Below are 24677 nucleotides of genomic sequence, written 5' to 3'. Positions count from 1 at the left end.
CCATTGCAGGCATGCCCAGACAAAACGCTAGTCAGGTTCTCTCATCTGCACAAAAGCATCTGGTGTAAACACTTGTGGGGCAAGTGGGAGGGTCTCCCAGGACCTCCCTTATCTGTCTCCTGCATCTATGACAATTAGAAATGGGCAAAACATATGAAGAGACATTTCACCAGAGGTGATATACAGATGAAAATATCTTCAACATCATTAGCCAGCAGGGGAATGCAAATAGATATCACTATACATCTATCTGAATGGCTAAAATTTCAAAAGTGACAACATCAAATTTTGGCAAAGACGTGCAGAAACTGCATTACTTATACGATGCTGGTGGAATGTAAAATGATGTAGCCACTCTGAAAAAATGTTTGGAATTTTATTACAAAACTAAACATGTAATTACCATATAACCCAGCAGATGTACTACTCTTGGTTATTTATCCCAGAGAAATAAAAACTTAAGTTCACATTAAAAATTTGTACATGAATGTTATTTCATAACAACTTTTTGAGACAGAGTCAGGCTGGAATGCAGTGGTGTGATCTCAGCTCACTGCAACCTCCACCTCCTGGGTTCAAGCAATTCTTGTGCCTCAGCCTCCCAAGTAGCTGGGACTACAGACATGTGCCACCACACACAGCTAATTTTTGTATTTTCAGTAGAGATGGGTGTCACCATGTTGTCCAGGCTGGTCTTGAACTCCTGGACTCAAGTGATCCACAGGTCTTGGCCTCCCAAAGGATTACAGGTGTGAGCCACTGCACCCAGCCTGCAATTTTAAAATAATAGCTGAAAACTGGAACTAACTAGCCCAGATACCTTCAACAGCTGCTACTCATTCTCTGTTGGTCTCTGGTCTCTGTAGATAGATAAAACTAGTTTTTTAAAAAAGCATTTCTCAATTCATTGCGCATGACCTGTGCACTGGATTACAACCAGCTGTCCATCAAACTCCATTGCCTCACCAAACGAAAATGAAGCTAGATCCACTTGTGAAAAAGGTACCAGGCAGGAGTAACTTTGGCAGAGAAGAGTGTTTTGTTGGACAAGTTCTTAGAGACAGACTGCAATTTTTCAACCACATAGAAATGATCCAGTCCTCCTCTAGTGTTCTGTTGACACCAAGCAATAGATGAAGGTCTCTTTTATGTAAAGTCATGATCCCAGGGAGGTTATCTGTACTCTGTGTGTGCTACTCCTGGAAGACACAAAAAGCTGGGGTGATACTACCAGTAAAAGTACTGGCCAGGTGTGATGGCTCACACCTGTAATCCCAGCACTTTGGGAGGCTGAGGTGGGCAGATCACCTGAGATCAGGAGTTCAAGACCAGCCTGGCCAACATGGTGAAACCCCATCTTTACTAAAAATACAAAAATGTGCTGGGCATGGTGGCTCGCACCTGTAATCCCCAGCTACTTGGGAGGCTGAGGCAGAAGAATCACTTGAACCCGGGAGGCAGAGGTTACAGTGAGCCAAGATTGTGCCACTGCACTCCAGCCTGGGCAACAAGAGCAAATCTCCGCCTCAAAAAAAAAAAAAGTCAAGTGTCGGCATAAACAATATACTGACTATATATGTAATTATATATAATAATAAATATATAGTACATCAATATAGCAATACATTGTATATCAATGTTTTTATATCATTCTATTCTATTTATATTATATATTATATAATACATATAATTATATAAATTTATGATTTATATTATATTGTATAATACTATATAATATTCTATTGCACAATATTATTTATTATATATACAATGTATTCATATGATAGATTGGTCACACTATAATTAAATACATAATACTGAGTGATATATGAAGGATCTGGTATTAATAGTTGGGAGGTTTACTGTTTAGTCAGGTTTTTTGAGCCCCTCCTGTGTACTGTGTATTATAGGAACTATCATTTCTGCTTTGGGTTTATAGTCAAGTTGGAATTCCACCAGGTTTGGGTAATCAAACTACAAAAAACTGATTTAAAAAACAGACTGCTAATTTAAACAATTTAAGAAAGGGTATGATTTCATTTGTTGTTTTTGACCTTTTTATTTTGTATAAAGAGGCTCTACAAACAGAGAATCCTTCCCAAATTATCAGTTGTGTTCATTATATTAAAAACCCACATTATTATTAATCCTTTGTGGCTATTAAGTAGTAGCAGTTAAACAAATGAAATAAATATACACTTGTTTTTTTAATAGCTCTTTTGTCAGGAATTTTTTTTTTGTGGTGAGAAGCCACAAGGATCTGCTAGTTCAGAGACTTCTTCAATCAGCAGACAGAAGCAGCCATCAGTGAACTTCTAAATGACAGCCTTAAATCCATGAAACAAAGCAAAGGAAATGGGCCTATACTAAGACTGAGGCATGGCAATCCTTACGAATTTCGATAAAGTGCAGCTAAAGGTAATAGGACTAGCAAGTATATTTTTTTGATGAATCAAACCACATTTCTTGACCTGAACAGTTTATATTAGGTTTCCTGTAAAGGATAGTTCAACTCTCCAAACAGAAAATAAGCACATCCCATTGGAAAGAGAAATACAGTACTGACGATTGAGTTAGGACTGGTCACTTGATCCTTCTATGAGCCTTTTTAAAAAACCATACACAAATTAAGTTAAACACTTTTTTTTTTGGCCAGGCGCGGTGGCTCACGCCTGTAATGCCAGCACTTTGGGAGCCTGAGACAGGCAGATCACCTGAGGTCAGGAGTTCAAGACCAGCCTGGCCAACATGGTGAAACCCCATCTCTACTAAAAATACAAAAATTTGCCGGGCATGGTGGCAGGCGCCTGTAATCCCAGCTGCTTGGGAGGCTGAGGCAGGAGAATAGCTTGAATCCGGGAAACAGAGGTTGCAGTGAGCCAAGATTGCACCATTGCACTCCAACCTGGGGGACAAGAGCGAGACTTCGTCTCAAAAAAAAAAAAAAAAAAAGTTAAACATTTTTTTCATCTACTACTTCAGAAAAATTGTAGTAAAATTGAGTGATGTAAGACTTATAAATGACTTTAATATCCCTTGTTTAAAAACAAAGTATTATTAACCATGTGAAAGTTAGGACTGTGGGTGCTTTTATTTTTAAGCAAATGTGAATATTAAACTTTGTGCAAAACAGCGAAAAATGAAGACAGTCTATTTCTCATAGTATGTCAAGAATAAGAACATATGTCATTGAAACAATTTTACCTTTCAAAAAGAAAGGTAGATCAAAAATCTCAAACAGTGAGACAGTTTTTCTCAAACTTTAGTATACATAGGAATCACCAGGAGCTCTTTTTAAAATGCAGATTTTGACTCAGTATTTCTGGGGCCATTTCTTTTAACTAGCTCCTAGGCAATGCCAGATGCTGCTGGTCCAGAGACCACACTTAAGTAGCAAGAATCTCAGACATCTATTATTCAACTAATTAAGTGATTTCATATGTTATACTCTTTGATACAGTGAGATTCAATGAAACCACATCATTCAGCTAGACCTATTAGTCTCCCAAAGTACAAAGATAAATTTTACAGCTTTTAAATGTTAATGGAAAAATGTTAAGAAATGGACATATAAACTGAAAATATTTCAGGGTTTTTATAAAACTTCTGGAAAACCCAAGTTTATTACCTCATATACACAAAATCTTTAGAATAACAATGAAGAAAAAACTTTATTTCAAAAATATAATTTAGATTTAAAAAATTAAATTGAAATTGAGAGCACTATAGGATCAATAAAGTACTAACAGTCAAAAACAATTAAAAGGAATTATGAAAATAAATTATTTTCAAAACTCTATGACAGGTTTTAAACAGGTGAGCTGCCACTAAATAATATGGAAAAGATGTCATTCAGCAGGCAGGCTCACTCACTAGGCACTCCAGCTGAGGGACAGAGGACCCATAAAAACTCTTGTGGTAGCCAATAAGTAAAGTGCAGACTATGGTGGGGATACTCACTTTGGCTATAGAGAAAGAGGACTGTCCAGTTTCAAGACCTGATTTAAAAATCAGATTATTGTAATCAAGACATCTTTCATATTTTGAAAGCTTCAGATGCTCATACTTACATGAGGTGTTTAGTATACTCAGTGAGATAGTCTGGATGTTTGTCCCTCCAAATCTCATGTTGAAATGTGATTCCCAATGCTGAAGGTGGGGCCTGGTGGGATGTGATTGGATCATGGGAGTGGATCCCTCATGAATGGCTTAGCACCATCTCCTTGGTGATGAGTGAGTTCTTGCTCAGTTAGCCCACAGGAGAGATGGTTGTTTAAAAGAGTCGGGCCCTCCCCATCATTCTCTTGCTCCCACTCTAGCCATGTGACATGCTGGCTCCCCTTCATGTTCCACCATAATTGTAAGCTTCCTGAGCCCCTCACCAGGAGCCAAGCAGATGTTGGCACAATGCTTCTCATACAGCCTGCAGAACTGTGCGCCAATTAAAACTCTTTTCTTTATAAATTACCCAGCCTCAGGTCTTCCTTTATAGTGATGCAAAAATGGCCTAATATGCATGTGTTCATGTCTCTAGTTTACATGTTGTTTGCTCCAAACCAATGGTCTCACATATATCCATTAGTGTACTACCAATGAATAAAGTTTTATCATCAATGTAGAATTTTGTAAATTGGCATTTTTCATTTTTTCAGATATGTTCTTAACATATAAAATCATATTTTTAATTATCTATGTTATCTAAAATAGAACACTGAAATGAGAAAAACTTTACTATACATTATGTATGGTTGTTATCACCATACTGTGGATATCCATGTCTACAGAAACAATGACACAAATGAATTCATCTAACCCTCTTTAAAAATATATAGTTTTCCATTTTAATACCACTAACTGTGGTACAGGATTTAGTTTACAGTGTTTGTAGGTCTGGGGAGGTATTAGGACTCCACACTCAGATAATCAAACAGACTATTCAATTTAGATGGGACTTTGTATACCATCTCTAGATTATATACAGCCCTTGCTCTAAAACATATTAGGACAGAATGACATGCTTATTTCTATTCCTAGACCAGAGTTTCATTTTTAAATGCAGAAAAGAAGAGGGAATTCAGAGTTTAAAAATTTGAGAGGTAGAGGGTAAGATCTAAACCAAAGTACTCGAATACCTTAGGCAGCAGATCAGTCAATAAGGCTTCTTGGGTGCACTTGTTTATTTCAGAGAAAATAGAACAGGTAGTATATATAGTTAATTTTGACCATATGTGTAATCATAAAGGAAATAATTTACTAAAAACTTATTGTATGCCAGGCACTACTCTAAATAATTTCTATTTATTTCATTTAACCCTTTAATCATCCTGTGCACTAGGAATTGCTGTCATTTGCTATATGAAGAACAATGTTGGCTTTAAATTCCTAATCACCCTAACAATATATATATTATAAACTATTAAGAAAAATAATAAAATTTACACTAAGAACAATTTTTGCAAATTGATGTTGTATTCTTTTGAGGTATAATCTACAGTAAATAAAATGCATAGATATGAAGAATACATTTCAGTTGGTTTGGCAATTGTATACACTATGTAACTGCCAGCCCAATTAAGAAAAGAACATTCCCATCACTTCTGAAAGTTTCCTCATGTTCCCTTCCGGTCGATCCAGCAATCCATCCCCCTACTTGCTGCCCCAATAGTGACAGACTCTATTATTATTTTTATTTACCGTACCTTATTTTCCCTGTTCTGAAATTTCACATACATAGAGTAAGTACTCTTGTATATCTGGCTTCTTTTGCTTTGCATAAAATGTTTGAAGCTCATTTACATTTCGTGTGAGTCGAAAGTTCTTTCATTTTCTTTCTTAATAGTATTGTACTGCATGAATATACCACAATTTATTTATTCATTCTTCTGTTTATGGGTATTTAATAGTTTCCAGTTTCTGGCTATCATGAATAAAGCTACTGTGAACATTCTTGTATGAGTCATTTTATGGACATATATTTTTATTTTCTTTGGGCAAATCCTAAGGTTGAAATTGTTGACTAATTAACTGTAAAAGAACTGCCAGGACATTTTCTATTGTGAACATGCCAATTATACTCTGACTATTAATGTACAAGAATTCCCGTTGCTTCACATAATCAAGTATTATTCACATAATCAAGTAGTATTGTTAGTCTTTAAAATTTTCCCCATTCTAGTGAGAGTGAAATGGTATTTCATTGTGATTTGAATTAGCTTTCCCCTGATGACTAACAATGTTGAGACCTTTTCATGTTTTTTAGCAGTGCATATATCTTCTTTGAGGAAATGTCTTTTCAAGTCTTTTGCCCATTTCACATGACAAATGGCTATTTGGAATACATATTTTAAAGTATATTTAAAATATATATTATATTCTTTGAGGTAAAATATTTCAAAATATATATTCCAGATAGTCATTTGTCATGTGCATATATAGAGTAAAAATTTTTCCCAGTCTGTCATTTATGTTCTCCTTTTGTATCAGTGTCTTTTGATAGAAGACTTTACTTCTGATGAAATTCAGTTTATCAAATTTTTTTCTCTTATGATTAGTGGTTTGTTGGTTTGTTTCCTACAGAATCTCTGCTTACCCTGAAGTCACTGAAATAGTTTTCTGTGTTATCTTTTAGAAGCTTCACAGTTTTAGCTTTTCTGTTCAGTAGTTCTTTTGGGAAAACCCTCAAACCATGTTTTTCCTCTGCTCACATACCACAACGACAATCATCAACACAGAAGAAAACATCTGTGACCAAATGTGTGGAGGTTTTCCCCCACACACCAAGCAGCACACACCAGCTGGGTGTCCTCCAATTCAATTCTGACACTGTCTACCTGGAGATAGTGTCACATCCCACAGGTTGAGGATCAGTCCTCAAGAATGCCCACTGCCAGCCCCTGCGACCTTCACTCCTGCCGCAAGTTCAGGCCTCTGGAACTTCTTTTTAATTAATTTATTTTTTTGAGACAGAGTCTCGCTCTGTCACCCAGGCTGGAGTGCAGTGGCGTGATCTTGGCTCACTGCAACCCTCACCTCCCAGGTTCCAGTGATTCTCATGCCTCAGCCTGGGATTACTCAGTAGCTGGGATTACTGACATGCACTACCACGCCCCGCTAATTTTTTGTTTTTTTTAGTAGAGATGGGGTTTCGCTATGTTGGCCAGGCTGGTCTCAAACTCCTGGCCTCAAGTGACCTGCCCGCTTCGGCCTCCCAAAGTGCTGGGATTACAGGCGTGAGCCACTGTACCCGGCCTGGAACAGATCAGCTTCAAGTTGGGGTTCCCACAACTCTCTCTTTGGGTTCGGTTAATTTGCTGGAGCAGTTCACAAAACTCAGATAAACACATTTACTGGTTCATTATAAATGATATTACAAAGGATACAGATGAAGAGACATGCAGAGCAAGGTACAAGGGAAGGGGCGCGGAGCTTCCATGCCCTCTCTAGGCAGGACACCCTCTAGGAAATTCCATGAGTTCAGCTATCTGGAAGCTCTCTGAACCCAGTCCTCTTGGGTTTTTATGGAAGCCTCATGACATCAGCATTTCTTCCCCCAGAGTACAAGGCAGGATTCTCTCTGGAATGAAGGTCTTATGACTCACAATCAGAAAGTTGAGGGAAAATTAGAGTCCTGCCTTGGGGCAGGTGAAAGGAAAGTTAGAGAAAGTCAGAGAGATTCTGTCTCCTGAGGCCTGCCCCTGAGGCCTAACACACTCAAGATTATAACAAAATCTGTAACAAGGGCTATAGAAGTTATGAACCAGGACCATGGATGAAAACATATATATGTATAATAACACCACAGTACTGATATTCACCTTGAATTAATTTTTGCATATGGTATAAAGTTTGCATATGGTATAAAGTTTTGGCATTATCAACCAAACAAGCAAATAAATTGATTTTATTCAGGCTATTGCAATAGGGAGAGCACCCCACATTCAAAGATTAGAGTGCTTGGCAAGATGCTTTGACCTTATAGTTTATAGGGAGGAGTAGACTTGTTTTAAATTGAATGATTTCTAGTTGGGATTGTTTTTGTAAACAGGGGACATCTCAGTCAGCTGCACAGAAAATGTTTATCTCTCTGTGTAGCTAGTTTGGGGTTGAGGGGGGCATGTGGTGGACTAATAGCTCTAACTTCAGCTAATGATTCATGATATAAATGACAGGAAGTGGGAGACTCGTGTCTGGTCTTGCCAGCAGGTTCAGGCAAAAATGAAAAGGCTGTGTTTGGCCTTTTCACAGGTAAACAAGGTAGGGAGGTCATCAGTGAGTCTTATGGTAGGCATGAGAAAAAGTAGACAGAAAGTCATCTACGTCATACAGGAAGGATGGTTCACTGTGTAAGCCATTTCCCAGAGCACAAAAGAGTTGGGAGATTTAGGAAAACAAAACTTTGTGGAATTTCTTAATTCCATGATCTTGATCTCCACGGGTAAAATTGTCAGTTCAGATTGAAATTCTGTCTGGGAAGTCAGTTGGAAGCAGAGTCACCCTTTGGTCTACCAGATCATGATACATTGTTGAATAATAATTTGTGAAGACAAATAGCTGTGTAGTAGTATTTAAGACTAGGCATGATGTACTGCCCAACTGCAAGGTATAAGACTACAAACAGGAAAATAATTAGTGTATTAGGCCATTCTTTCATTGCTATAAAGAAATACCCGAGACTGGGTAATTTATAAAGAAAAGAGGTTTAATTGGCTCACGGTTCTGCAGGCTTTACAGGAAGCATGGTACTGGTACCTGCTCAGTTTCTAGGGAAGCCTCAGGAAGCTTACAATCATGGTGGAAGGTGAAGAGGAAGCAGGCATGTCACATGGTGAAAGCGGAAGCAAGAGAGGGAAGAAGAGAGAGAGAGAGAGAGAGAGAGAATGGGTGGAGGAGGTACCACATATTTTTAAACGATCAGATCTTGCGGGAACTCAAAGCGGGAGCTCACTTATCACCAAGTGGACAGACAGCACAAGTCATTCATGAGGGATCCGCCCCCGTGATCCAAACACCTCCCACCAGGCCCCACCTCCAACACTGGGGATCACACTTCAACATGAGATTTGAGCGAGGACAAATATCCAAACTATGTCAATTAGTAATGTTTGTAATACAGCTCAAAACCGGGTCTTCTATTTCTAAATCTTGCCCAGGGGAACATGCCTCAGGCTATTTGAATTTACCTTAGAAAGCCAACTAGCCTTTTCCTTGAGTTTAGTAACTAAGCATTCACTTGTCCTGTTGTGTTTATTCAAGTGCAAAAAGAGATTTTGGCTATGGCACAGATATCTCCTTGTCTAGCTAGAAGGAAGTTGAAAGTTGTAGGATTGGCCATAACAATTTGGACCTGTGCGTTTAAACTTATTTTCTGTACTTCTAGGGCCAAAGTGGTATAATTTTCTTCTACAAAGGTTAAGGAGAGGCTTGAACTACCTTTTCTTTTTTTTTTGAACTATCCTTTTTAACTGTATTAATGCCATAGTGGGTGTCAAGGGCCCTCATGGTGCATATGAAAAGAGAATCATTGATATCCCTGGGAGGTTTTCCCCAATTCCCTGTAGTTGCCTCAATTTGGAGGTAATTCCAGAAGGACACACCATTGACAGGTGGGATAGCAGCTTTAAATATTTTGAAGTCCCAGACAATCAGTCCAAATGCCCTTGGGGAAGGCATGAAAAGTGGTATCCTATGGGGAAACAGGTGGGGTCTGAGGTATAGTAATTATTAACAATTACTGGGATTAACAACTGGGTAGATCCCTCAGAAGAGCAGAGTCTTTGTGTGGAACTGAACGCAGTTTGTAAGGCTGGTTGGGAAGTGGTGGAAGAGAAAATGGTTATTATTAGGGATAAAAGTGCTCCTACATTTTTTCCTACACTTGATCCTGAAAAAGTGGAGTCATTGAGTTTGGAGATTTCAAGAGACTCATTAATCATGTTAAGAATTAAGTTTCATTTAGTACATGCTGAGAAATTGGGGATAATAGAAGAGTCAAGGGCCATTAGGCATGAGACTCTGGGCAGGTTGAGTTCCTTAAAGAGTTTGGCTAGTTTGAATATAACGGTACCACTGGCCTGCTTGTTTCATTTTCCAGAGGACTGGTAAGGAGACTGCAGTTTTTGTAACATTGGAAGTACTTGTTGAAGATCCTGAATAACCTTACTACTGAAGTGAGTTCCTCCACTGTTATTAAAAAAAACAGAGATCCCTAGGAGGGGAAAATTCTTTCTGGTATCAGGTTAACTTCAGTGGTGATAGTAGCTTGTTTACAGAGAAAAGCTTTTAACCATGCTGAAAACATGCCAACTATGGTTAAAACATATTTGTACCCATAAGACTTTGAGAGTTGATATATTTTCCAATGAAAACAAGGACTAGAGAGAGTTGACTCTCATGCTTGTCCCACTTTACATGTTGACTAGGATTGTGTTTCTGGCAGATGGGGCAAGTTGAAGTTAACTGCTCAGTATTAGGGCATCCCCAACAATATTTGCGGAGAAAGATTTTCTTTGCCATAATGTGTAATCTCATGGAGGCTGCAGAATAAATTTTGGGTGAGGGACCAAGAGAAATCAATGATGTCTAGGTGTCTCCAAAGCCCATCTGAGTAGAAAAAACATCCAGCTTGTTGCTTTTTTGCTTTTTCAGCCTCAGGTGCTAGCAGCTGTTATATCTTAAGTTTCTTAAGAGTTTCTGTCTTTAGAGTAGGTTGAGCAAGGAGAAGTATACACGTGATTCAGGAGGTGTTTTCTTGGGAAGCAGCAACCTTAGCATATTTTCAGCCAGTTAAGTTTCCTTTAGCTTTGTTAGTCCAGCCACTAGTGTGAGCTTTGATTTTTGAGAATGGCTAATTTCTGGATAGCTGTAAGGACTTAAACAGGGGGGCTGGGCGCGGTGGCTCACGCTTGTAATCCCAGCACTTTGGGAGGCCGAGGCGGGTGGATTACCTGAGGTCAGGATTTTGAGACCAGCCTGGCCAACGTGGCGAAACCCCATCTCAACTAAAAGTAAAAAAAAAAAAAAAAAAATTAGCCGGTCATGGTGGTGGGTGTCTGTAATCCTAGCTACTCAGGAGGCTGAGGCAGGAGAATCGCTTGAACCCGGGAGGCGGAGGTTGCAGTGAGCCAAGACCGCGCCACTGCAACTCCAGCCTGGGTGACAAGAGCGAGACTCCATCTCAAAAAAAAAAAAAAAAGACTTAAATAAGTTAGTGAGTTGGGTTCTGAGTGGTACTCCTCAGTTGTCATAAACCTCTTTCTTTCCATAGCATACCAAAATAACGTGCAATTCCAAAAGTAAACTGGCTGTCTCTATAAATGTTAGTTCCCTTATCTTGTGCTAACATGCAAGTTTGGGTGAGTGCTTAAGAATTCAATGATTTGGGCCATGTTAACTTAAGTGGAGATTTCAACTTAATAGGCTGTTGAAAATCTGCAATAGTGTATCCTGCTTAAAATTCCCCATTTGTACTCCTGAGGTAAGAACCATCTACAAAGGTGATATCAAGGTCTCTGAGAGGAGTTCTGGTGATGTCAGAGTGAGGAAATGTGAATGACTGTGTGACGGTGATTCAGTCACAAGGTTGTCCTTCAGAGGGAATGGGAAGAAGAGTGGCTTGATTGTTTTGACTACGGTGGACAGTGATGAGAGAGGAAGACAGTGGCAGGGTTTCACAGGAGGTGAGTCCGAAGCGGAAACGTGTTAGGTGTTCTCAGTGACTTCTAATGTCTGAACTGCACGGGGTAAGTAAAGGTTGAGTGAATGACTAGAAATAAAGTCAGCTCTGATGGAGAGGCAACTTCATACAAGCAAGGGGAGAAATGCTTGAGCCACTGGGTCTAAAAGGATGCTAAATTACCAACCAGGCCTCTGGCTTCCATTGTGTTTTGGGGTGAGGACCCCCTAAAGCATGTCTCTTCTTTTGTGTAAAAAAGGGAAAGGGGTACTGAATATTGGAGAGACCAAGTGGGAGAAGTGGCTACAGAGGACTTCAGGTTTTGAAATGCAGATATGGAAGGAAAGTCTCAAAGTCAGGTGACTGGAGGTGGTCTCCTTTTAGTCATGGCAAATAAGGACAGGCAATTGTGAAAAAGCCAGGGATCTAATTCCAGCGATAGCCAACCAATCCTACAAACCCTGAGTTATCTTTTGGTACCAGGGAGAGGCATAGTGAGTAAAAAAAAAAAAAAAAAAAAAATCACTTCTAATGGATACATACACTAATACAAGATGTTAATAATAAGGGAACTGTGAAGTGGGGAGAGATATATGGAAGTTCCCTGTCCCTGCTGCTCAATTTTTCCGTAAACCTAAAAATAAAATCTAATTTACACACACACACACACACGCCCCTAAAAAGGGATCTCTGCTGGAACTTGCAAGGTTTTCTGTTTTGGGGGGTTTTTTGTTTTCCTACAGGCTCATAATTTCAAATTAGTGGTGCTTCCTTTTTTTTTTTTTAATAAAGGCTGGAAGAAAACTTATCGAACCTTTATAATTCTAAGAACTGAGTAATTATTCTACAAACCAACAAATATTTATTAACAGCGTCCTATAACCAACTCATGTAATCTTCACACAATCCTATGAAATACTACTGTTCACGTCTTACAAAAGAAGAAACAGTTCAAAGAGACAAGTCAAACAATACATACTAGAACGAGGCGACTACTCTGGATTCCAAAACCACAGTTCCAAACCACAAAATCGAATCTAGGAAAATTGGCGCTCTCGAGTGTCGTCAGCTAAAACAAGGAACACCAGAGAAGGATCGCGATATTACACAAACTACTACTCCCGACATGCAAAGCGGATTCTTTCCCTCGGTCTCGGCCCGGGAGTCCGAGAGTCCCAGCAGCCCTCGGGGCGCGAAAGGCAACCTGGGAGCGGTAGTTCTCCTGGGCGCCTAGCATTGTCGCCCACGCTGCAGTAGCGGCTTCTGCGGCTCCAAGCCAGCGGGTCCTGTGAAGGCGAGCAGACGCGGAGAAAGGACGCGGGAGTGAGAGAGGGTGAGTCAGCCACTGTCTAAACGATAACGGGAGGCGGTTCTGCGGGGTAGGGTTGAATTCAGTAAATGGGCTCGTGCTGCTGTCTCTTCGGAGACGCTGCTATCTTAGCGTCAGCGAGGGAAGGTTGAGGAGGAGCCAGAGCCGGGTCCTGCAGCGTTTCTCGCCATCAGCGCCCGTCGCCATCTCCACCATGCAGTCCCGGGAAGACGCCCCGCGCTCTCGCCGCCTAGCCAGTCCCCGTGGTGGGAAGCGGCCCAAGAAGATTCACAAACCCACAGTTTCGGCCTTTTTCACGGGTCCAGAGGAATTAAAGGACACGGCCCATTCTGCAGCCCTGCTGGCACAGCTCAAGTCCTTCTACGATGCGCGGCTGCTGTGTGATGTGACCATCGAGGTGGTGACGCCTGGCAGCGGGCCTGGCACGGGTCGCCTGTTCCCCTGCAACCGCAATGTGCTGGCCGCGGCATGTCCCTACTTCAAGAGCATGTTCACAGGTGGCATGTACGAGAGCCAGCAGGCCAGCGTGACCATGCACGATGTGGACGCCGAGTCCTTCGAGGTGTTGGTCGACTACTGCTACACGGGTCGTGTGTCTCTCAGTGAGGCCAACGTGGAGCGCCTGTACGCGGCCTCCGACATGCTACAGCTGGAATATGTGCGGGAAGCCTGTGCCTCCTTCTTAGCCCGACGTCTTGACCTGACCAACTGCACCGCCATCCTCAAGTTTGCAGATGCCTTTGGCCATCGCAAGCTGCGATCCCAGGCCCAGTCCTATATAGCTCAGAACTTCAAGCAACTCAGCCACATGGGTTCAATTCGGGAGGAGACTCTAGCAGATCTGACCCTGGCCCAGCTGCTGGCTGTCCTGCGCTTGGATAGTCTGGACGTGGAGAGTGAGCAGACAGTGTGCCATGTGGCAGTGCAGTGGCTGGAGGCTGCTCCCAAAGAGCGGGGTCCCAGTGCTGCAGAAGTCTTCAAGTGCGTGCGCTGGATGCACTTCACTGAAGAAGATCAGGACTACTTAGAAGGGCTGCTGACCAAGCCCATCGTGAAGAAGTACTGCCTGGACGTTATTGAAGGGGCCCTGCAGATGCGCTATGGTGACCTGTTGTACAAGTCTCTGGTGCCAGTGCCAAACAGCAGCAGCAGCAGTAGCAGCAGCAACTCTCTTGTATCTGCAGCAGAAAATCCACCCCAGAGACTGGGTATGTGTGCCAAGGAGATGGTGATCTTCTTTGGACACCCCAGAGATCCCTTTCTCTGCTGTGATCCATACTCGGGGGACCTTTACAAAGTGCCGTCACCTTTGACCTGTCTGGCTCACACTAGGACTGTCACCACTTTAGCTGTCTGTATCTCTCCTGACCATGACATCTATCTAGCTGCTCAGCCCAGGACAGACCTCTGGGTGTATAAACCAGCTCAGAATAGTTGGCAGCAACTTGCAGATCGCTTGCTGTGTCGTGAGGGCATGGATGTGGCATATCTCAATGGCTATATCTACATTTTGGGGGGGCGAGACCCTATTACTGGAGTTAAGTTGAAGGAAGTGGAATGCTACAATGTTAAGAGAAACCAGTGGGCATTGGTGGCTCCACTGCCCCATTCTTTTTTATCCTTTGACCTAATGGTAATTCGAGACTATCTCTATGCTCTCAACAGTAAGCGCATGTTCTGTTATGATCCTAGCCACAATATGTGGCTGAAGTGCGTTTCTCTGAAGCGCAATGACTTTCAGGAAGCCTGCGTCTTCAATGAGGAGATCTATTGTATCTGTGATATCCCAGTCATGAAGGTCTACAACCCAGTTAGGGCAGAATGGAGGCAAATGAATAATATTCCCTTGGTCTCAGAGACCAACAACTACAGAATTATCAAGCATGGCCAAAAATTGTTGCTCATCACCTCTCGCACCCCACAGTGGAAAAAGAACCGGGTGACTGTGTATGAATATGATATTAGGGGAGACCAATGGATTAATATAGGTACCACATTAGGCCTCTTGCAGTTTGATTCTAACTTTTTTTGCCTCTCTGCTCGTGTTTATCCTTCCTGCCTTGAACCTGGTCAGAGTTTCCTCACTGAAGAAGAAGAAATACCAAGTGAGTCTAGCACTGAATGGGACTTAGGTGGATTCAGTGAGCCAGACTCTGAGTCAGGAAGTTCAAGTTCTCTTTCTGATGATGATTTTTGGGTGCGTGTAGCGCCTCAGTGAAATGCACAGGATCAACAGGGTTTGTTGTAACTAGATTGAAACACTAAGTTGTTTTTACTGTTTTGGAAAATATCTTAAATATCCTTTTTGTTCCTAAAGGAGAGGAAAAGTTGATTAACTTCTGGTTTGGTTTAGAAAAAGTAATGTTTGAAATACGAAGGTAATTTAATGTTACAAATTTTAACACTCAAATCAACCTTTTAATAATTTTCTGTGCTAAGGGTCCAGTATTTATTTGATTATTTAGTATGTTTATGTTTCATGACACTAATTTAGTCTTTTGATACATTTTACATTCTGTTTACTGCCACAAGCACTGTGGCAATAACTTTTGAATTTTAATTTTTATAATAGAAAAATGATTAGGAATTGCTAGATAGTGTTTTGAAAGCATATCTTTTTCTTCAGAACAATGTAGACTTCCAAAATGGTTAACCTAAGGGGTCTTTACAAAATGTGTTATAAGTTAAACATAATTTGGGAAGTTTTACTTTTGTTTTCTTCTATGAAGAAAAAAATGCAGGCTGGGCGCGGTGGCTCACGCCTGTAATCCTAGCACTTTGGGAGGCCGAGGCAGGTGGATCACCTGAGGTCAGTTCAAGACCAGCCTGGCCAACATGGTGAAACCCCGTCTCTACTAAAAATACAAAAATTAGCTGGGCGTGGTGGCATGCGCCTGTAATCCCAGCTACCCAGGAGGCTGAGGCAGGAGAATTGCTGAAACCCGGGAGTCAGAGGCTGCAGAGAGCCGAGACTGGGCCACTGCACTCCAGCCTGGATGACAGAGTGAGACTCCGTCTCAAAAAAAAAAAAAAAAAAAAAAGGAAAAAAAAAAAAGAAAAAAAACCATATGTGTATTAGGGTGACTGAGTGGTGACTTCATTTATAATAATACAGAGAATAGCTATAAGCTCATTGACAGTAAAAACAACAAACCAGGATTCTACTGTTTGAAAAGAAGTTTCGTTTTAATTTTGGAATTTAGAATGTGTATTTGCAAAGTCACCAATTTTCATCTAAAAGGTTATATTCTAGTTGTGTCACCAAATCATCAAAAAACCTTAAAAAAGAAGTAACTTGCTTTGTAGGTTTGTATTGTTGATCTAAACCTGATACATGCTTCATTTAATCAGGAATAATCCTTTTTTTTCTGCTGGACATGTATAAATTTCACTGGATTGTATAAATTTTTATCTATTGCCTTAAACATTTACATGATTCTCAATATGTTTTAGCTGTACAGTTTTGGTGTTCATCTTAGAGGATTCTTCAGCAGAAGTGATATTTCTTTACTGTTTTGTGAGGTAATACTGATTTTGAAAATATATATAAGCTAAAAACAGTATTTCGTTGATATCAGTAGTCATTGTGTTAACTATAAAGTCAAGTGCCAGCAAAGAACTTTAAAACTGTAAAGCTGTGTATAGAACTGTTTTGTGTAGCATGGAAATATTCTGTCAGCTTTTTAAAGTCACTAAATGTTCTTGATTATCAGCTTGAAGGTATTTTTGTATTACAAGTTGACAGTTGCTGGGTGTAGTGGCTCATGCCTGTAATCCTAGCAACTCGGGGCTGAGGTGGGAGGATTGCTTCAGCCCAGGAGTTTGAGACCAGCCTGGGCAACATAGCAAAACCCCATCTCTACAAAAATAAAAAATATGTCTGGGCATGGTGGCCCAAGTCTGAGTCCCAGTTACTTGGGAGGATCACTTGAATGTAGGATCACTTGAGTCTAGGAGTTCGGGGCTGCAGCTATCATCTGCAGCTATAATCATAGCTCACTGCAGCTATGATCATGTCTCAGCACTCCAGCTTTGGCAACAGAACGAGATCCCATCTCTTAGAAAAACAAAGTTGATAGTTAAAGAACATAAGTGGATGATGGCATTTGAGGCCACTAGTGAAAGTATGTTTTCTCTAAAATATTTCTCTAATAGTGATATAAATGGCTATTTTATTATGATGTTTGTATGTGTTTTGTATTTCTCTGTAAACCATGCTCCAGTCTTTGTTTTTCTGTTACCATAATGTAAGAGAAGGTCCTGGAACAGAGACTAAATCCCACGAAACTGACATTGTTAAACACACTAAAACAGAAGTACTTACCTCTTGAAGATTTAATATATAATGGTTGACATGATACATGTACATGATGAATGACCAGATGCTTATGGTCTACATTTTCCTTTATCCTGTTAGTATTACCTTCCTTAATCTTTGTTCATTAACATGCTAATTCCTCTTCAGTGTTTATTTTCTAGTGACAGAATGCTAACATTTCTTACACCCTGGCAGAAGGGAGAGAAATGTGTTTTGGGGTGGGTAACTAAATTTTTGAGTGAAATATCATAAGATGAGAATGGAAAGAGGGAGACACAAAGAGTTATAACAAAAAAACAATGGTTTTTTTAGCCATTTGACTGGCTCTTTAAATAGTCTACAAGACATTCACGTTTAACATCACTTTTAGTGAAATAAAATGTGCCATACTAGTATGTGCTTCAAAAGGGCAAATGTGCTTTAGTGCCCTAAGGCTAAATTTTGGTCATTTGACATCAGAGATGTTGTAAGTATTGCACTTAATACGCACCTATTTCTCAATAGTGTTATTTTTTGGCTAGCATTTTCTTTACCACTATCTTGTTGATAGCTTTTTGTTCTCTAAGGTTGAAACATGACAGTGCTTATCTCAAACAGATTACCCATCTGCAGAACTAAGGAAAGCAATTTATGTATGAAAGAAATTCTTGAATTCGTCATTCTCAACCTTTGAATTAAAGCTTAGACTAAATAGTAATATATCGTGGGAAGGATTTTGGTTTTGTGATATTTCTGTGAATTAAGGAATAGATGTTAACCATTATTTTGTAGAAAAGTGATTTGTATGTGGTTAATTATAAATAAAACTGGTACCAGAACTTATGCTTCCTGACTTTTTACTTCAGTGATTCCACTAAATGTATAAAACTTTTGCGTGTGCAGTTAATCAGGAGTCCCCAGCCCCCAGGCTGCAGACCTGTACCAGTCTGTGGCCTGTTTGGAACTGGGCTCACACAGTGAGCTGCAGGCAAGCAAGCATTAGCTCTGCCTCCTATTAGATCAGCAGTGGCACTAGGTTCTCATAGGAGTGTAAACTCTATTGTGAACTGCGTGTGCAAGGGATCTATGTTACATGTTCCTAATGAGAATCTAATTAATGCTTGATGATCTGAGGTGGGACAGTTTCATCCTGAAACTATCCCCTTACCCCTAGTCGTGGAAACTGGTCCCTGGTGCCAAAAAGGTTGGGGATCACTGCAGTGAATGATACAACTAGCAGTGCTGAAATCTCTTCACGACAAGAAAATGTAACTGTCTAATTTTCCAATTAAGCCACACATATTTTAGCAAATGCTTAATATAATGTCATTTGTCGGACTACCATCTGTAAGATTTAGAATGACATTAATTATCTTTTGTATTTTTGTCCCTGTAGTCTGAAAAGCTGAGAACCCAAATTATTGCAAATTCTTTTAAATGCAAACGATAGGTAGTATTAGAGTTTTCAAAAGGATAAAATAGAAACAAATTTAGCCACTAACTTGTCTAAATATGGATTAAAGATTGAAATTAAGTTGTAATAGCTCTTTTTCATCATTTTTAATTGAGCAGGGATTTATTTTTCAATTTTTATATCTTGTTGAGAATCTGAGGAAAGCTTTTGATCCATTCCCAAGCAAAAGGCACATAATTTATAATATCAAGGATGTTTCACATTTCTGAAGCTCATCAGACCCAAGGTAAGAGCACTTGTAATAGGATCTCTTTTGCCATACCTGCTTAAAAATTTCAACACCCCTTTTATTATTCTAAATAACCTGATTTGTTTTGTTTTTAAATAGAGATAGGGTCTGTATTAGTCTGTTTTCATGCTGCTAATAAAGACATACCAGAGACTGGGTAATTTATAAGGAAAAGGAGGTTTAATGGACTCACAGTTCACGTGGCTGGGGAGGCCTCACAATCATGGTGGAAGGCAAAGGAGGAGCAAAGTCACGTCTTACAGGCCAAGCAAGGTGGCTCACACCTGTAATCCCAGCACTCTGGGAGGCCAAGGTGGGCAGGATCACATGAGAGCAGTTCAAGACCAGCCTGGCCAACATGCAAAACCCTGTCTCTACTTAAAAAATACAAAAATTAGCTGGGCGTGATGACAGGCACCTATAGTCCCAACTACTGTGGAGGCTGAGGCAGGAGAATTACTTGAACCCAGGAGGCAGAGGTTGCAATGAGCTGAGATCATGCCACTGCACTCCAGCCTGGGCAACAGAGTGAGACTCCATTTCAGAAAAAAAAAAAAAAAAAGGGGTCACACCTTACATGGCGGCAAGCAAGAGAGCAAGTGCAGGGGAGCTTGCTTTATAAAACCATCAGATTTCATGAGACTTATTCACTATCAGGAGAACAACACAGAAAAGACTCACCCTCGTGATTCAATTACCTCCCACCGGGTCCCTCCCATGATGTGGGAATTATGGGAGCTACAATTCGAGATTGGGTGGGGACACAGACAAACCATATTAGAGTCGTATTATTTTGCCTAGGCTGGAGTGCAGTGGCACAATCATAGCTCACTGTAAACTTGAACTCCTGGACTCAAGCCATCCTCCCACCTTAGCCTCCTGAGTAGCTAGGACTACAGGCACACACCACCATTACCAGCTAATTTTTTAAATTTTTTGTTGAAATAATAAACTCCTGGCCTCAAATTTTATCCTCCAGCCTCATCCTCCCAGAGTGCTGGGATTACACATATAAGCCACGATGTCCAGCCTTATTTATTTTTATTTTTATTTTTATTTTTATTGAGACAGAGTCTTGGTCTGTCTCCCAGGCTGGAATGCAGTGGTGCAATCTCAGCTCACTGCACCCTTCCCATCCCGGGTTCAAGCAATTCTCCTGCTTCAGCCTCCTGAGTAGCTGGGATTATAGGCACCTGCCACTACACCCAGCTAATTTTTGTATTTTTAGTAGAGACGGTGTTTCACCATGTCGGCCAGGCTGGTCTCTTTTAACCATGTAAGGTCTTCCACAGCTGCATCCCAAGTCTGCATTAAGATTTCAGATGCCCAGGTTGGTCTCAAAATCCTGGGCTCAAGCCATTCACCCGCCTCTGCCTCCCAAACTGCTGGGATTACAGACATGAGCCACTGCGCCCAGGACCTTTAAGTTTATCGGAGATAAGTAGAAATGAAATATAGAATGGAGTCACGTACTTGACAGAAGTAGTTATCCAAAATGTTTTCTGAAAGCTGTTTTGAAGTTTTCACAAACCAAAAAAAAATGACACCATATGTATATATTGACTAAAGCACAATTTACCTGAAATTAGTACAAGAAATGGGCAAGAAACTAAGTTCTGAATAAACTATTGTGGCTAATGGTTTGAACTTCAACAAAGGGGGAAATAAGTAGATTACATTCACACAGCACTGCAAAGATGATTCAGGCACAGAAAATGCTGTAATGTTGCTAGATAGCCTAGTTAGCTCTAAGAAATTTCCAGTTTTTGGCCGGGTGCGGTGGCTCACGCCTGTAATTCCAGCACTTTGGGAGGCCAAGGCAGGCAGATTATGAGGTCAGGAGTTCAAGACCAGCCTGGCTAACAGTGAAACCCCATCTCTACTAAAAATACAAGAATTAGCCGAGCATGGTGGCATGCACCTGTAGTCCCAGCTGCTCGGGAGGCTGAGGCAGGAGAATCACTTGAACCCAGGAGGTGGAGGTTGTGGTGAGCCGAGATTGCACCACTGCACTCCAGCCTGGGCAACAGAGTGAGACTCCATCTCAAAAAAATAAAAGATAAAAATAAATAATAATAAAAATGGCCTTTCTCCCCTATCCTACAAGGAGCAATGGCTAAATTCTAACTAGATACATGTTGATCCAGAATAGAGACTACCTCTCCCAGGCATCCCTGCAGCTAGATGTGGCCATGTAGTTAAGATCTGGCCAATTTCATGCGACCCGAAGCAATATGCCCAACTTCTCTTACAGGGACAGTAGTGCCCTCCCCTTCCCTTTCTTTCTCGATGGCTGGGATGTGGGTGGACATGAGGATGAACCACCTTGGACCATGTTGGTCAGGGCAACACCCTAAGTAAGGATAGCAGAACAGGAAGACAGAAATGCCTGGGTCTCAGATGACTTTGTAGATTAGGATCCACATAACAGAGTGGACTTTTATATAAGGAACTTATTTAAAGAACTAGGGAGTCTCAGCCTGGGCAACATAGTGAGACCTTATCTCTACTCAAAAGAAAAAAAAAAAAGGCTAGGCACGGTGGCTCACGCCTGTAATCCTGGCACTTTGGGAGGCTGAGGCAGGCGGATCACCTGAGGTCAGGAGTTCGAGACCAGCCTGACCAACATGGTGAAACCCTGTCTCAACTAAAAATACAAAAATACAAAAAGTAGGTGTGTGGTGCGCACCTGTAGTCCCAGTTCAGTTTAGTTTAAACTTAAAAGTTTTAATTTACACTTAAAAGTTTTTAACTTAAAAGTAAAAACTTAAAAACAATTATTTTTTTTGAGATGGAGTTCTGCTGTTGTCGCCTAGACTGGAATACAGTGTCGCGACCTCAGCTCACTGCAACCTCCGCCTCCCGGGTTCAAGCGATTCTCCTGCCTCAGCCTTCCAAGTTGCTGGGATTACAGATGCCCGCCACCACGCCGGCAAATTTTTGTATTTTTAGTAGAGATGGTGTTTCCCATCATGGCCAGGCTGGTCTCCAACTCCTGACCTCAGGTGGTCCACTTGCCTCTACCTCCCAAAGTGCTGGGATTACAGGTGTGAGTCACGGTGAAGACAAGATTTTTCATATATGCTATGACTGGAGTCTTCTCCATATTTTACACTAGTTAGTACTTGTTTGGTATCATGATCGCATTGCTTGCTTTATGGTAGGGCTCTTCTCATGCTGCAAGCATTCAGTTTATCGATCTGTTCATTCTTTATTATGTGTCTCCTCCATTAGAATATATATGAGGCTGGGTGCAGTGGCTTATGCCTGTAAATCCCAGCACTTTGGGAGGCCAAGGCATTGGATGGCTTGAGTCCAGGAGTTCGAGACCAGCCTGGACAACATGGCAAAACCCTGTATCTACTAAAAATCCAAAAATTAGCCAGGCATGTGGTGTGCACCTGTTGTCACCAAAAAAGAAGAATGTATATGCCGTCATGGCATGGACCATATTTATCTTTTTCGAAGTTCCTAGCAATAGGACCAGGTGCGGCATTGGCACTCAATGAATATTTGTTGAAGAAATAAATGTGTTTGGTACTTGTTCACATTTATATGACAAACACCTGCATTTATAGCTCTCATCTTTTTGTCAGTTTTCCAGCTTTGCGGTAGAGCTGTTATTAAACTGTTTTGTCTGGTTGTTATAGCAACCCAGAGGCTTCCAGAACTACAGGTTGTTTCTGATGTGCATATTCTACCAGACAACCAAACACACACAGTGTTTTTAATCATGAAATAAAGATGTTACTATAAATCACATTTCTCTCACACTATATGTTTTTCTCTTTTATGAACATGGTGGAGAATTAGAATGGAAACCCAAATCTGTTTAAACCAATAAAAGCTAGGGGGAAAAACAAAGCAATGTGACACACACCTCCACTCCCAACACATTGTTCCCGCTAGTTTCTCCACCTTTCCACGAGCACGCATGAATTTAGTCAGGTTTTCTGTCCAAGTTGTTAAAGGAGTTTTGAAAGGTAATTGCTGCAGAACAAACTCTGAAAAGCTCTGTTACAGCCTAAACATTTCCTCTTTTTCTCTTAGTTGCCTATTGCTTAAATGTCATGTTAAATTAGCAAAATGGTAATAGTTTTCTAAAATTGAGACTTGCTCTGAAAAAGACCCCAAATCACGTACTTGCCCACCCCCATCCCTCCACTCACATTTTAGGGGCAGGAACTAAGAAGAATTTTTTAGAAATTTTTTTAAATTAATTAAAAAAATTTTTTTAGAGACAGAATCTCACTCTGTTGCCCAGGCTGTAGTGCAGTAGCACAATCGTAGCTCACTGCAGGCTTGAACTCCTGGACTCAGGGGATCCTCTCACCTCAGCCTCCCAAATAACTGGATCTACAGGTGCAGCCCACCATAGTCAGCTAACTTTGTTGGTTTTTTTTTTTGGTAGAGACAGGGTCTCACTATGTTGCCCAGGCTGGTCTCAAACTACTGTCTCAGCTTCCCAAAGTACTGGGATCACATGTATGAGCTATCACGCTGAGCCTAATTGTTTTAAATTATTTTTTTTTAAGAGACAGGGTCTCGTGTTGCCTAGGCTGGAGTGCAGTGGCTATTCACAGGTGTGATTCCACTACTGATCAGCATGGGAGGTTTGACTTGCTCCATTTCCGTGCTGGGCCAGTTCACTCCTCCTTAGGCAACCTGGTGGTCTCCTGCTCTTGCAAGATCACCATATTGATGCCTAACTTAGTGCAGACACCCAATCAGCATAGTGCACTACAGCCCAGAACTCCTGGACTCAAGCGATCCTCCTGCCTCAACCTCCCAAGTAGCTGGGACTACAGGTGCATGTCACCATGCTTAGCCAGAAGGGTTTATTAAACTAGGTTAGGTTATCATAGAACACTCATCATTAGTTCAATTAACAAGATTTATCTGAGCCAGTGCATCAACCATGTATATAGTTTTTAAAAGTCAGAGTTTATTTTGTAATGGTAGATACCCTACAGGGAGTTTATGGAGTTTACATGAATTTTCTTTTCTGTAGGTTTGGGTCATACATACTAAAGAAAGTTAGGCAGGCTGGGCGCGGTGGCTCACACCTGTAATCCCAGCACTTTGGGAGGCTGAGGCAGGCGGATCACAAGGTCAGCAGATCAAGACCAGCCTGGCCAATATGGTGAAACCCCGTCTCTACTAAAAATACAAAAATTAGCCGGGCGTGGTGGCGGGTGCCTGTAGTCCCAGCTACACAGGAGGCTGAGGCAAGAGAATAGCTTAAACCCGGGAGGCAGAGGTTGCAGTAAGCTGAGATTGTGCCACTGCACTCCAACCTGGGTGACAGAGCGAGACTCCGTCTCAAAAAAAAGAAAGTCAGGCACAACCCAGATTCAATACTCACCAGTGAACAGTCCCATAACCTTATCTAAAAGAAGTTATATTGCAATTAGCTTACTTGCTGGACAGTTTTGGCATTATAAAACTAGTATCCACTTCAATACATCCAACCATCTTCAATAATACACTGGGGGCACTCTCAAGAGGACAAAGTGAAAGATAAGAAGGGGCAATATAAAGAGTGGTATCAAGATTTCAGATTTCAATGTCAGAACCCCTGGCTATTTTGAGTTGTATATGTGTAAGAACTTCATTTTAGTCTTCTGGAAAACTCCATGCCTTTTTATTCTTTTAAATAAGCACTGAATGCTACAC

At 40.9% G+C, this 24677-nt stretch overlaps 1 protein-coding gene, 1 long non-coding RNA gene and 1 pseudogene across 2 annotated transcripts in view, besides 2 other annotated features; 1 reads left to right on the top strand and 2 right to left on the bottom strand.

The window, feature by feature from the left end:
• KBTBD6-DT (KBTBD6 divergent transcript) overlaps positions 1–12778 on the bottom strand; it is a 103759-nt gene extending 90981 nt beyond the window's left edge. The window contains exon 1 of the long non-coding RNA NR_120423.1: positions 12651–12778. This is a non-coding gene — a long non-coding RNA (KBTBD6 divergent transcript). The remainder of the gene's footprint in view (positions 1–12650) is intronic.
• Positions 12602–12841: an enhancer, noted in NCBI's record as "active region_7626". NCBI's record gives its function as "activates an Ori minimal core promoter by ATAC-STARR-seq in GM12878 lymphoblastoid cells {active_cell/tissue: GM12878}" and the evidence as "EXISTENCE:reporter gene assay evidence [ECO:0000049][PMID:35858748]".
• On the top strand, positions 12904–18137 carry KBTBD6 (kelch repeat and BTB domain containing 6). Its single transcript, NM_152903.5, has one exon. The coding sequence runs from the start codon at positions 13195–13197 to the stop codon at positions 15217–15219; it is 2025 nt and encodes a 674-aa protein (NP_690867.3). The 5' UTR covers positions 12904–13194; the 3' UTR covers positions 15220–18137.
• Positions 13202–13251: an enhancer, noted in NCBI's record as "active region_7625". NCBI's record gives its function as "activates an Ori minimal core promoter by ATAC-STARR-seq in GM12878 lymphoblastoid cells {active_cell/tissue: GM12878}" and the evidence as "EXISTENCE:reporter gene assay evidence [ECO:0000049][PMID:35858748]".
• Positions 23535–23821, bottom strand: RN7SL597P (RNA, 7SL, cytoplasmic 597, pseudogene; annotated as a pseudogene).

The sequence above is a fragment of the Homo sapiens genome, chromosome 13 (genome assembly GCF_000001405.40).
Source record: "Homo sapiens chromosome 13, GRCh38.p14 Primary Assembly".
Classification (NCBI taxonomy): Eukaryota; Metazoa; Chordata; class Mammalia; order Primates; family Hominidae; genus Homo; species Homo sapiens.
This window is presented reverse-complemented; position numbering and strand designations above follow the sequence as displayed.

Bases quoted from the DNA above. Each gene is read 5' to 3' on its own strand.
- KBTBD6 (NM_152903.5), top strand. From the start codon at position 13,195: ATGCAGTCCCGGGAAGACGCCCCGCGCTCTCGCCGCCTAGCCAGTCCC.